The 14459-nt window shown below is 42.9% G+C and overlaps 1 protein-coding gene and 1 long non-coding RNA gene across 9 annotated transcripts in view; both read left to right on the forward strand.

Annotated features, from left to right (window-relative positions):
* The window catches only part of STX18-AS1 (STX18 antisense RNA 1 (head to head)), a 168808-nt gene extending 156866 nt beyond the window's left edge, over positions 1-11942 (forward strand). Inside the window, exons 5-6 of the long non-coding RNA NR_037888.1 lie at positions 6677-6914; positions 10520-11942. This is a non-coding gene — a long non-coding RNA (STX18 antisense RNA 1 (head to head)). The remainder of the gene's footprint in view (positions 1-6676; positions 6915-10519) is intronic.
* The window catches only part of LOC124900165 (uncharacterized), a 230445-nt gene that overhangs the window by 156866 nt on the left and 59120 nt on the right, over positions 1-14459 (forward strand). The window lies entirely within an intron of this gene.

Here is a 14459-nt window from a genome sequence, read left to right on the forward strand (position 1 = left end):
TAATAGAGAAAGTGAATCAGCACTTTGGTCTCCCAAGCTCAGCCATCAACTCCTTAAGCACAGCCTTTAGGGCTGGGAAAGACATAATATTACTTTAGTTTGAGCTTCTGTCTATTTGTTGATGAGGAAACAGACCCAGGGCAGTCAGGGAAACTGCCAGCTGCTATACAGCTAGTTGAGGGTGGAGCTGGGCTGGAGGGTAGGATTTCTATGTCCCATTGGGTGAGCTTCCCATCTCACCTCAACCACATCAAAATTGACCTTCCAGAGGCAGCCACTTCCCGCCTCCCACCCTTCCTTAGTGAAATATCTTCACAGATAATCCTGCCATTAGACACCTCATTAAATGACATTTCATCCCTGGGATTGGTGTTTAAGTAACATTTGATTTGAGGTTTCGAGCTCTAAATCCTTCATATGTCAAGAGGTATTTCACACTGAAACTTGAAACTAGGGGAAGGGTGGTAAATACAAAAGTAAGAGTCAGAATGAGGAATCTTAAAGCATAGGTCCAATTCAGACCCACCAGTTGTATGAAGTTGGGTGAGCCATTAAATCATGGAAGCATTTTGTACTCATCTACAAATTAGGGATAAAAATAGTTTCCTTCCTCTTGACCTCACATGGTAGCCATGGCAATTAAATCCATACATGTATACAGTAGGTGAGCAATAATTGCAGTCCTAATGTGAAGAGCGATTTTTCTAAAGCATTAGTATGAGCAAGTTCTATCTTTTATTCAAATTCTGCGGTGGTTTTCTTGTGTCTTCATTCATTCATTCACTTATTCAACATTTACTGAGCATCTAGTATGTGCCAGGCACTGTTTTAGATACCAGGGACAAAGGAACAAAACAAAGTATCTGTTTTGAACTTACAATATAACAGAGAAAACAGACAACAAGCAAGATGAATAAACAAAAATGGAATAAGTAAAACAAATAGTAGAGTCCTGGAGTGATTGGGGAACACAGGATGCCCTTGAGTCTAGAGTGAGAGAAAGAGTGGGACTATAAAAAATGAGGACTGAAAGACAGTGAGGGGTTGGGGGATGCAAAGTCTCATGGCTTTTACTCTGCATTAGATGGAAAAGTCTTCGGAAGATTTTGAGCAGAGGAGAGACATGATCAGATTATATTTTAACAGAATCACTCTGATTGCCAAAGTGAACACACTGCAGTGACAACAAGGGCAAAAGCAGTCATCCCAGGTAGAGGAGATGGTGGCTGGGACCAGGTGTTGTTAGGAAAGTGGCGAGAAACAGTAGGATATGATAGTTCTGTTATTTGCACTTGGTTGCGTCTGTTAGCTTGCTGCCACTGTTTTGTGACTGTGGTGTGTGAGCTTATCTTCAGCGGACATACCTTGCAGCTAAGGTTGAGGGATACATCTCCAAGGAAATTTTGCATATGCTTCTTCTGGGCATCTCAGACACTCATCCTCATCAACACTGGGCTACTACCTTAATTTCGAAAACAGTCAACAAATATTGATTCATGAGATGAGCCTGGCCTTTTAGGTAAATTTCTCTGCTTCAAGTTTCATCAGCTACATGGGGAGTATCAATGCTAATAGTAAATATGAATGCAGACAAGCTATGGGTGTGAAATCTTTTTTCTAAATTTTTTTTTTTATTTTCATAGGTTATTGGAGAACAAGTGGCATTTGGTTACATGAGTAAGTTCTTTAGTGGTGATTTGTGGGATTTGTTGCACCCATCACCCAAGCAGTATACACTGCACTCAATTTGTAGCCTTTTATCCCTCACCCCATTTCCCCCTGAGTTCTCAAAGTCCATTATGTCATGCTTATGCCTTTGCATTCTCATAGCCTAGCTCCCACTTACGAGTGAGAACATATGATGTTTGGTTTTCCATTCCTGAGTTACTTCACTTAGAGTAACAGTCACCAATCTCATCCAGTTTGCTGCAAATGCCATTAATTCATTTCTTTTTATGACTGAGTAGTACTCTGTCATATATGTGTGTGTGTGTGTGTGTGTGTGTGTATATATATATACACACACACACACACACACACACACACACACACATATGACATTTTCTTTGTCCACTTGTTCGTCGATGGGCACTTAGGTTGGTTCCATATTTTTGCAATTGCGAATTGTGCTGCTACAAACATGCATGTGCAAGTATCTTTTTCATATAATGACTTCTTTTCCTCAGGGTAGATACCCAGTAATGGGATTGCTGGATTGAGTGGTAGTTGTACTTTTAGTTCTTTAAGGAATCTCCACACCGTTTTCCATGAGTGGTTGTGCTAGTTTACATTCAGTGAGTGTGAATTCTTTTTTTTTTTTTTTTTGAAACTTGCTCAAATGCTGGAGTGCAGTGGCATGATCTCAGCTCACTGCAAGCTCTGCCTCCCAGGTTCACACCATTCTCCTGCCTCAGCCTCCCGAGTGGCTGGGACTACAGCTGCCTGCCACCACGCCCAGCTAATTTTTTGTATTTTTAGTAGAGACAGGGTTTCACCATGTTAGCCAGGATGGTCTTGATCTCCTGACCTTGTGATCTGCCCGCCTCAGCCTCCCAAAGTGCTGGGATTACAGGTGTGAGCCACTGCGCCCAGCAAATTCTTAAAGGATGACACAGTTGAGAGAGACCAGCTTGTTGGGCAGCTGCTGGGGCCAGTGGGAGGGTTTTTCTAACCCACTCTTCTCCAGGGTTATAATCTGTTGAGGGTCCCTGCTTTATGGTGATGTCCTCAATTCTAACTCCCCATCATGCATGGGCCTCAGGTCTTGTCTCCTGACCTCAGCTGGCCCATGAACACCCCAGCCTTTAAGTTACCAAAGCCTACCCTCTAATCCCTGCCCCAGAGAAACCACAGGTAAGCTCACGTGGATTGCTCTGGTGGTCAGTTCCTGCCACTCCTTTGTGCCCTGCAAGTTTCCTTTATTTGACTTGATGAACTTAACTCTGCATTTAACTAAGTTTTGCAGTTTTTCTTAAGCAAGTAGCAGGAGGGTTTTCAGGTTATCTGGTCCATCCACTATGCTGCTAGAAAGCCACTTGATTCCCTGTGTCATCATCAGTGTCTCTTGACAGGATTAATTTAAGGTCTATCAGCATCAGACTCACCTTGGGAATGTGTAGTTAATAAAATACATATTCTCTGGTTTCACCCCAGGACTCTCAAATCACACTTTTGGGAATCTGGAACTTGCATTTTAACAAATGCCCACAGTGATTCTGATGCACACATAAGTGTGTGAGCCACTGTGCGTCTGGAGATTCAAGCTCCTGAATTAACCCAACACACATTTACGAAACACCTTCTATGCCCGCGGCACCACTCAGTCTTCATGGGATGCAGACATGAGTAAGATTATTTGTTTCTTTGAAGGGCTTTATAGCATAGGTCAGGGGCCGGCAAAGTTTTTCCGTAAAGGGACAGATAACAAATATTGGAGGCTTTGCAGGTCACGTAGCTTTCTTCACAAAAGCTGCAACAGGCACTATGTAAACAAATAGGTGTGGCTGCGTACCCAAAATTTTATTTAAGAAACAGGTGGTAGGTTGGGCATGGTGGTTCACACCTATAATCCCAGCACTTTGGGAGGCCAAAGTGGGCAGATCACTTGAGGTCAGGAGTTTGAGACCAGGCTGGCCAATGTGGCAAAACCCCGTCTCTACTAAAAATACAAAAATTAGCCAGGTGTGGTGTCAAGCACCTGTAGTCCCAGCTTCTCGGGAGGCTGCGGCAGGAGAATCACTTGAACCCAGGAGGCAGAGGTTGCAGTGAGTCAAGATTGTGCCACTGCACTCCAGCCTGGTGACAGAGCCAGACCCTGTCAAGGAAGGAAGGAAGGAAGGAAGGAAGGAAGGAAGGAAGGAAGGAAGGAAGGAGGGAGGGAGGGAGGGAGGGAGGGAGGGAGGGAGGGAAGGAAGGAAGGAAGGAAGGAAGGAAGGAAGGAAGGAGTGATGGCCTGGCTCACCTGTGGTTTGCCCACCCCTGTGAAGCTAAAAGAAACATGCCAGAGAAAGGATTCTAACGCAAGCAGTTGCTAGGGTGGAGGTGTGCGAGGGATTTCAGAACCAGAGAAGAAGGAGTCTGAACCTGCTGGGGCTGTCAGCAAGCCTTCCCACGTGAGCTCCCACTGGAGATGAGCCCCGAGGGGACATCCATCACTGGACGTTTAGGTGTTTCCATTCCTTGCTCTTATAAACAGTCAGAACAAACCACCTTCCACTTTGTAGGCTGGTCTGATTCTTCCCTTAGCCTGAAGGCACAAAAGGCTTTGGTAGCGCATTTGCAGGGTGCCTTCTAGAAAGCTCATACCACCTTCACACCCTCCAGGAGCATACACTTTGGCCCTCCGCCATCATCAACACTAGGCTACTAATTTAATTTCTAAAACTAATAACAAATATCAATTCATGGAAAGAATCAGTGATATGTTTTGACCATGTCCCTACACAAATCTCATCCTGAATTGTAACTCCCACAATTCCCACATGTTGTGGGAGGGACCTGGTGGGAGGCAATTGAATCACGGCAGCTGGTCTTTCCCGTGCTATTCTCATGATAGTGAATAAGTCTCATGAGATCTGATGGTTTTATAAAGGGGAGTTCCCCTGCACAAGCTCTCTTCTCTCGTCTGCCACCATGTGAGACGTGACTTTCACCTTCTGCCATGATTGTGAGGCCTCCTCAGCCATGTGGAACTGTGAGTTTATTAAACCTCTTTCTTTTGTAAATTGCCCAATCTCAGGTATGTCTTTATCAAGAGGGTTAAAACAACTAATACAATTAGTCTGATCTTTAATCACAAAACTAAGAACGTAGACTGGACAACTTTGCTTGCCTTATTTCCCTGAGATATTCCAGTTTTTATTTCTTCATATTGGGCAATGAAGACTGTACATTTTTGGTAGCTTGAAGGGTTTTCCTGGGTTTGGGTGTGACTCCTCGGAGTGTGACCTAGCAGGAAGGTCAACATCCAATCTCTCCTTTGCTGTGTGAGCGGTGCAGTCCGCCAAGGCCACTCCACTCAGCAATCAGCCTTTTCCACTGTGGCTAAACGCGCATCCACATCAGTAGAGAGGAGGCCCTGAGGAGCATGTTTGATCTTAGTGGAAAGCTGGCCCAGGCTGGCATTTTGACATTTGGAAACAGTGAATACAATTACCCATCTGCAGACCAAAAGGGATTTTTTTTCCCCTTGAAGGGAATTGAAGGTATTTTGCCCTGTGGTAGTTTCTCTCTTAAGAGGTCCCTTCTGACTTGAGTAGTGTGGAGAATCTTCTTCCAGATTTAATTCAGAAGAGTGTGCTCCAGGAAGAGAGGACAGGCTAGTGCCCGAAGCTCCATCTTCCTCTGGAGTTGACCTTTTAATGAGAGAAGGGTGGAAGGCAGACCAGCGAGAGGCACACACCCTTTACTGCTGGCTCTCTGCTGTTGCAGACATCGTTTCCTCTGTCTCTAACCTCAGCCCTTGAAGAACGTGTGGTTATTTCATCATCAGCAAATGGGGCGAATGAGGTCAGACTTCATGTGATTGTCCGAGGTTCCACAGCCAGCCATGCAGGGCTTGGACAGGAAGTCGAGTTTCTTGCCTTCAAATTCAATTCTTTTCCCACTTGTTGTGTTTCTCAAAATTTATATGCTGTAGTCCTAACTTCCAGTACCTCAGAATGTGATCTTATTTGGAAATAGGTTCATAGCAGATGTAATTATTAATAATTAAGATCAGGTCATACCAGAGTAGTGTGGGCTCTAAATACAATGACTGGTGTTCTTCTTCTTATTATTTTTTAGAGATAGAGTCTTGCTTTGTTGCCCAGGCTGGAGTGTGGTGGCATAATTACAGTTCACTGCAGCCTCAAACTTCTGGGCTCGAGCAATACTCCTGCCTCAGCCTCCTGAGATTGGTGTCCTTATTTTTTCAAAAAGCCAAGCTGGGCACAATGATGGGTACCTGTGGTCTCAGCTACTTAGGAGGCTGAGGTGGGAGGATCACTTCACTGAAACCCAGGAGTTTGAGACCAGCTTGGGTAACACAGCAAGACTCTACCTAATAAAAGCCACATGGAGAGACAGAGACACATACAGAAAGAAGACAATGTAAAGACACAGGGAGAAGATGGATGGTCATTTAGAAGCCAAGGAACTCCTGAAGCTACCAGGAGCTGAAGAGAGGCGTGGAGTGGATCCTCCCTCACAGCCTCCAGAAGGAACCAACCCTCCCAACACCTTGCTTTTCAACTCTTAGCCTCCAGAGCTATGAGACAATAAATTGCCACTGTTTAAGCCACCTGGTCTATGGTTCTTTGTTACAGCAGCCCAAGAAATCAATCTACCACTCGTCATGGTAAACACATTGTAGTTTTTAAGACAATACAATTTATTGAGTGTGTGGCAATAGAATTTATGGAGACTTGTGTTGTCTCTCTGTCCCAAACATTGTAGAGCAGAGATGGCTAACTGCTCTCCAGTACACATGCTCCTTCCTTTTATTAAGAGAAACAGCCTCCCTGATTTTAATAGCCAGAAAACATGTTTCCTGGCTTGCCTTGCAGGAAGATATGGCCATGAGACTATGTTCTCACCAGTGGAATATGAGTGGAAATGTCGTGTGCCAATTTCAGCGACATTTTCCTAAATGAAAATTGTTTGCCTTCCAATTTATCTCTCTTTCCCCTGGTTGCAGCCTGGAATGTAATCATGGATAGCCATGGATGATCAGCTTTCATCATGTGGGCATGGAACAAGATGGAAGGAAGCTGGGGCCCTGAGTGACCTGTGGAGCAGAGGCCTTTGCCCACCCTGGGCTGCCTGATTTCCCCTGGACTATCATGAGACAGAAGAAAAAGCTTCTATCTTATTTGAACCACTGTGTTTTGGGAACCTTGGACTAGAGCAGCCTAGCCTTCATACACTAACAAGGTGTATGTGTCTGCTCTTTGTTGCTTTTGTAGATGGTTGTGTTATAAGCCTGAATGCAGAAGTTGTTCCCCAGACTACTGGATTTGCTGCCTTTTAAAACAGGTTTATTGAACTATAATTGACATACAATGAACTGCATATAGGTAAAGTGTACAATTTGATAAGTACACTTTTTGAGCAAATCCACCCTTTGTTCTGGAAGAAGACACTCTATAGTCTCAGGCTGTTTCTTTACCAACATCAACAAGCTAGTCTTAAACAGAGGAACCTCAGTGCCTCACTTTCAAGACAATCAAGATTATTTCCCAACATTCCACTAGTAGAGGGTCAGAAACAGAGTTAAAAGTTCTCAGACTAGAGGTAGAATTGAAACCCCAGCTGAGAAGTATCAAGGTGCCCTCCTTCCCCAAAGCTACATATTCTTGTGTCAGGATCTTACCAGGAAATGGAAGGCACATTTACACAGGGCAGCCCAAGAGACTGTTTCAAAGGAAACCAGCAAGATGTGACAAAGCACCCCAAGACTAGCGACACTGGGAGACCTTCTCACTTGACTTAAAAGGCTGGGGCAGGAGAGTTACAGGACCCAGTATTAGCTGTAGCCAAAGCCTGGGCAGGGCCACCTAACATGAGCTGCACCCTTCTGTAGAGCAGCACAGACCTTGTGCATCTGAGGCCCAGCAGGATGGGGCCTTGCTCATCCTTCCCTTGCAGTTCTTGCTAATGCTTCCTGTTGCCTGAACCCAGCTGGAAGCCAGAGGGCAAGGGAAATCAATTGAGACAGATAATGGAGGTAATCCCCTGGGCACAGGGCAGCATGGCAGAGGTAAGGAGTCTGTCTAGAGCCACAAAGGAAGAGGACTGAGTCCAGAGGTGAAAGCAGTCACGTATCCCCAAAGACACCTGCTACACATTTGGGCTTTGATTTATCAATGAGAAGGCTTGAGGGACAGTGGGAAAAATGATGAGGAGTCATTAGGTCCTTGTGGAAATGGTGCCCTTGAAGGATGAGCCTGTAATCACTAGGTACACGTGGGTGGATGAATGCTGGTGAAACAGGTGGAGGGAATGAAAGGACAGAGGCAGCACGAGAACACTGTAAGCAGAGCAGAAGTCCATGCAAAAGCCAGAGATGTGAGACAGCACGGGTACATATAGGGACCCGCAGGTGGTCTGGAGTGGCTTTGCTGTGGGTTGTGATGAGATATCCACTGTGTTGGAGCTCTGGAACAAAAAGGAGGTCATCTAAGCTGGTTGCTTCTGTTTTTTTCTTTTCTTTTTTTTCCGGATGCATTTCAATTAGGTGAGGGGTACCAGGCAGAAACCCCTCCTGAATATAAACCCTCTGTCTTATTGTACCAGTTAAAGATGAACGATGGCTCACTTCCTATTGGGTACTAAGTTCATTATTTGGGTGACAGGATCAATAGAAGCCCAAACCTCAGCATCATGCAATATACCCATGTGACAAACCTGTATCCCCTAAATCTAAAATAATAATAAAAAAAGATGTACCATAGCTCTTAATTGCTCTTCAAATCACCCACACCATTAGAGAAAGCTATTTCCACCCCAATCTGAATTAAAGAATTCTACAATCTCCTACAGTCCGAAAGAGAGACTTCAGCTAAAGAGAAAGCTGGTGCTCCTCTTGCTAGCTGAGTGAATTCTGATCCTCTTTTTCATTTTTATTTTCTTGCTTGAACTCTGCTTTGTTAAATCAAACACCAGCCCAAAACTGAGCCCATGGATCACCATATTGGCAGCCTTATCCTAGAATCTCAGGGCTGGAAAGAACTCCGAGTACAGCATTCTCCAGTGTTGGGTGTCAACAGGAGCAGAGTTGGTCTCTTTCGAGAGCTTCCTGGAGAGTCTATAAAAGCCTGGCTTTTGAACTCTTATATTTGGAGGCTGAGATTCAGAAGGCCTGGGGTGGGGCTTGAGAATATAAATTCTTTAAAAAAATTTTTTTCTTTTCCTTAGATAAATCTTAGAAACCAAAGGGAATTGAATTCTTAAGAGGACTTGAAAATGATTCTAATATAGTCGGGTTAGGGGAAATCTGGTCTTGAGCTTTTTCTTGGGAGATGTGGTGAGTCCAAGGCAAGCCAGGCTTCAATTCTGAATCTACACTCTTCCCACACATCTATGTGGCCTCTGTGCCGAGTCTGAGTTTTATGTTTTACAAAGAAAACTAGGAGAAAAACTGTTATTCTTCTGATTAACAGAAAAGTTGTCCAACTGGCTACACTTGAATTATATCCCCTGATTATTAAACTCAGGCTTCTTTAGTTTTCATTTATTTTATTTCATTGCATGGAGATGTTTTAAAAGAGGAAGGCAAGGGGTGTGGGGGAAGGATTCTGGGATAGCGACCATTCTCACCACATGCAGAAGGCCAATACTGCTTCCAGAAGGAGACACAAGGAATCCTTCACTGAGTGAAAGTTTTTTTTCTTCCAGAGAATATCAGTATTCCTACTTTATAACAAGCCAGGAGCTTTTTCTGCTTCCTGATTTAAAAATTGATTCCTGACTGCATAGTTCTCACACAATAGCTTCCTTCTTGCAGGGGCAGTGTGATTGCCTGGAATATAAATTCTTAGTGGGTTGACCAGGGATCACGAGCAGTTATTATGTTCTCTGCTGCTCTTAACATGTTGTGATTCTCAATAAATAATCCAGAGCCAAAGCATGGTGTTTTGTTTTGCTTTGTCTCAGTGAGTTTTCCAAACTGTATTTACTATCTCAAAGTGAGAGCATCGCAGTTTTCTGAGCCAACTGCAGCAATTTTCCAGATCTGGAGAGTATTTTTGAAGATTATTTCTTTGGAGATTTTCTCTCTTATTTGGTTTGTTTCCTCTTTGATAATTTTTATTATTCATATGTTGAATTTTTTGAGCAGAGCTTTAATTTTCTTATCTTTTCTCCTCCTTTTTTCCATTTTTTTCTTTGCCACTTTTCTCCCCCTTCTGGGATATTTTCTCAAATTTTTTCTTCTAAACTTTTATCTTTTCTGTGATTATAATTTTAAATTCCAAAATACCTTTTTTTGGAGAGGGGAGTGGAGGGAAGTGTTCTCTGACTGTTCCTTTTATATAGTAGCCTGTTCTTATTTCATGGATGTAATATCTTTCCTCTTTCTTTTATAGTCTGTTTTCCCCAAGTTACTTTTTTCCCTTGTTTGTTTATTTGTGTCTCTGTATTTCATCTCGGAGCATTCCTTAGGTGTTTGGTGATTTCCTCCTTCTCCCTCTCTCTGCTCCCTGCATTGTTATAATTATCTCTGAGCTGACCTCCCAACTTAGGTCTTTCTCATTTTCTAGTAAACTTGGCATAATCCTGTGAAACCCATCTTTTTTAAGCCCCCAATTCAACATGTGATTCTGTTGGTGAAAAGCCTTCCATGGCTCCATATTTCCCACTTCATCAGAACTTAACTTTGCCATTTTTGACATTTTCAGTCTCTGACCCCACTCAGGCTAGGCACCATACCTCTTGCCTCAGAATGTGGATACTCTTGTGTGTTCAGAGTTGGAGATTAGGAAATAATACTATTAAAAGTAATAGCAATCGATGATAAAGCCTTCATATGCTTTATTCACAGACATTACTGACTTCTCCTGTTAGCTCTGTCGTGCTTACATCATGATGCCCATTTTTCAGGTAAAGAAATAGTGGCTCAAACAAGGTGAGTGGCCAAAGATAACATAGCTCATATGTAGCAAAGCAGGGACTTTGATCTGGGTCTCAGCACTTTGTCCACCATGGTGTCCACTGGTTGACTCAGGTGATTCACCTGGGTAACAAGGCTTCCTGAAGGCCACCTGCTGGTAAATGTCATTGCCAGTTCATTGACCGGGAGCCCCCATGTGTTTCTACCAAGACCCCGCTCCTCTCTTCGCATACAGTAATCTGTTGTATACACTTTGTACCTCACCCACAAGCGTGTGAAAAGCCTTAGCTGTTCTGGTGCCAGGACTAATGGGAGCTGCTTACAGTCTATGAGGACAATCAGACTTGGCCGCCTGCCTTCTTTCCATATAATTTTTAATAAGCCAGTAATATCTCTCCAAGCACTACAGACCTCTGGCTTGGACCAGGAAACCTGGAACTGTTTAAGAGAACATTAATTTCCTTTGAGCTAGGATTACAGGCCATCTAAAACTTCTTAATGAATGGCCACACTGCCTTTTTGAAGCATTTGTGTATTTGCCAACACAGACTCGAAGGTTGCATTAGATATTGGGAGTTGTCTTTTCTGGAAGTTAGGGTCTTCTAGAAGCTGACGGGCGATGGAGGCCTGATGCTCTGCCATTTCTTTGGTGAGACCTCTGGACTGCTTCGTTCATAGTCCTCTTTCCCACATATGCTCCCCTGATGTCTTACTCTTTTATTTTATGGGTTTTTGGTAACTGAAACATTTTAAGACTCAATTCCGCCACTTTGTTGAAGATAAAATCAAGTTCAAACCCTGCTTTATTTTATTTTTCTTTTTTTTGGACGGAACTAGTGAGGAAACTGTGTGTGCAAACCCCAGAAAACCCACTTGAGACCTGATGCTAATTGGCTGGATGATGTTCAATAGGACACGGCTCCACTGAGCCTCAATTTCCTGATGAGGGTTAAACTGATGATTCTTAACCAGGTCTGACATTCTGTAAATTAAGCATACTTGCTTCTGATTTCACAGTTTCCATGGGATCAGAGGATTGAAATGTCAAGGAACCTCCCTTGATGTCCCCCTAAGACTCTGAATTGAACTGTGATGAGGACCCTTTTGAGAATCTTTCAGTGATCCCCTTCTCTAGGAAGGAAGGGTGAAGTATGCTTTGTAAGAGAGATTGTCTATTTGTCTTTTATCTCCTGATTTCAAACACAGTGGTTCCGCTAAGCTGCATCTTTTTTGTTCTTTCTGCTGTGAAAATAATTTTGTCGGAAAATGTAACCAGTGCAATTATACTGAAATTTCATATGAAATGTTAATAAAATGGATGTGTGACCAATAAAATACTTGATGCCAAATTAAATGGACCAAAAGGGAATTCTGCTTTGTAGCAAACTTCATGGGAAACAGGATAAAAAAGAAAATAATATCTTTGAGCTACTATATGAATTTCCCCAGAAATAAAAATATTGTTTATAATAAGTTGCTAATCTTTGGCTTGCTCAGAGGGAATAAAACATAGTGGCCAAAGATGTGGATTCTAAGGGCAGATTTCTTAGGTTCAAATCCCAACATTGCTAGTTCTTATCTGCTAGCCGTGGGCAAGTTACTTAACCTGTTTGTGCTTCAGATCGCAGTCTGTAAATTGGGGCTAATAACAGTATTTTCTGCAAAGTGTTGTTGTGAGGATTGGGTTTATACATATAAAGCAGTTGGTAATGCCTGGCACATAGGAAGTATTCAGTTTGCATTAGTGATTATTATTAGAAAGTCACAAACTTGAAATGAAAATGGTTCTCGAGTGTGAATATGAATATGTATGTATATTCATGAATTCATATTTCTTCTCTAGGGAATAAGATTTGCTTCCATATTTTACCAAGAGGGCATCTGGGACCTTAACCTATTGAAAGATTTTCCCAAGGCCACATGGCTGATCTGCAGTGGGAAGAAAGAAATATTAGCGTTTAGCTTGAATGACCTACAGATACCATAATTAGCACTCCTTTGTGGAGCAACAAATTGACAATTACCCAGAATGCTTAGAAAAAAACATTCTGGTTAATTTAATCTTCTGGCTAGCCAGTGAAATTTTTCTAGCGTATCTGGGTGAGTAAATTACAATAATGGCTGCAAAAGCCTCTGAAAGCAAGATAACTAGAAAGTTCACAAATTTTAGGAAGCTCAGCAATTATACTTTAGAATATCAAATTAATAAAATTTAGAAAATCCAAATAAAAATGCCAATGAATATAAAAAACTGTGGGATGCAGCTAAGGGTATGCTTCGAGAGAGATTCTTAGTCTTAAATATTAGAAAGAAAGAAAGGTTGGAAATGGAAACATCTGTAACAGACACTGTATTGCCCAGGTTATCCCATTCAGGACTGAAGCCCTCATTGCCTCAGTTGTTGGGAATGCCTGCAGCCAACAGCTTTCAGTTGAGTCTTTTTTGGGAAACTGCCCTTGACTAATGAAAGCCACCTTGTCCGGGCCACATTCTCTTCTCAGGGATGGTCTACATCCAATAGCTAGTTGATGAGAGAATAAAGGTCTGGCCGCATTCCTCAGTCATACCTGTGGAATTTTAATTTATGGAGGTGACTGGGGGCCAGCACAGAGAGGCCAATGCCCTGAAAGATTTTTGGTTTCTCTATATTTCTTTATTGTTTCATTAGCAGCAGAAGAACGTATTGTTATATTTTTAAGATTTTAAGTTTTGTTTTCAATTCAAATGCAATACACAATTACTGTTAAAAATCAAGTACTACAAAAGAAAATTAAAAAATTTTGAATATCATGCCTTCATTTCATTTCCTAGAGGAAATGACTATTAACAGTTTGGTATATGGTCCCCTTGACAGATTTTCATTGCTTACGTTTCCCAAGAGGAGGGGGCATGCCATGTCACACAGGGCCGTGTGGGGAAGCACCTGGATTAGTCAGGACATACAGCAGGAGCAAGGACCAAGTCTAGGCAAGAGATTGTATTAGAATTTCTGCAGGAAAGGGAAGGCAGAGGCAATGGCTTAGGATTGTCTAGCTTGAATAATTCTGGCAGTCCTTGGGCCACAGGGGCTGTCCTAGTTGTCTGGTACCTGGCCCTGGGTTGATTTAGGGCAGGGAAATATTGACTGGTGTGTGAGTTAGATAGAGAAGTGGTTCAGAATGAGCTCTGAATCTCAGGGCAGCAGGAAACAACTCGGCCATAAGTTTGGTCTGTGACTAATGGATGCCACATGGACAAATAAAGAATATCAGAAGACACAGAACACCCCTTGAACCAGATGGCATATCCCAGTACCAGTGCTTGACCCTTTGGGCTTGGCAGAGGCCCTTGCTGGGTCTGCATTGCAGTTCAACTTCTCCCTCTGCCCCATCCTGGTTGTTTCCCTCCCTTACAGGGACTGATCCTACAGGCACGTCCTGTACCCAGATCTTAGAGGGAGCCTATCGTGCAATAGTATTTGCCTAAGTAAGTTAGTGCCTTCATCCATTTGGGCTGCTATCACAATATACCATAGACTAGATGGCTTATAAACAACAGGAACTTATTTCTCATAGTTCTGGAGGCTGGGAGGTCCAAGGTCAAGGTGTTGGCAGATTCAGTGCCTGGTGAAGGCCAGCTTCCTGGTTTGTAGACATGCTTCTTGTGTTTGCATGACAGAAGCAACCAATGAGCTCTTTGTGGCTTCTTTTATGAGGACACTAATCCCATTCAGGAGGGGTTCTACTCTCATGACCTAATCACCTTCCAAAGGCCCCACCTCCAAATACCATTGCCTTGGGACTTAGGATTTCAACACATGAACTTTGGGGAGGACACAAACATCAGACCACAGCAGTTACACAACAGACAAAATAAACACAAATAATGCAAA

The sequence above is a fragment of the Homo sapiens genome, chromosome 4 (assembly GCF_000001405.40).
Source record: "Homo sapiens chromosome 4, GRCh38.p14 Primary Assembly".
NCBI classification, from domain to species: domain Eukaryota; kingdom Metazoa; phylum Chordata; class Mammalia; order Primates; family Hominidae; genus Homo; species Homo sapiens.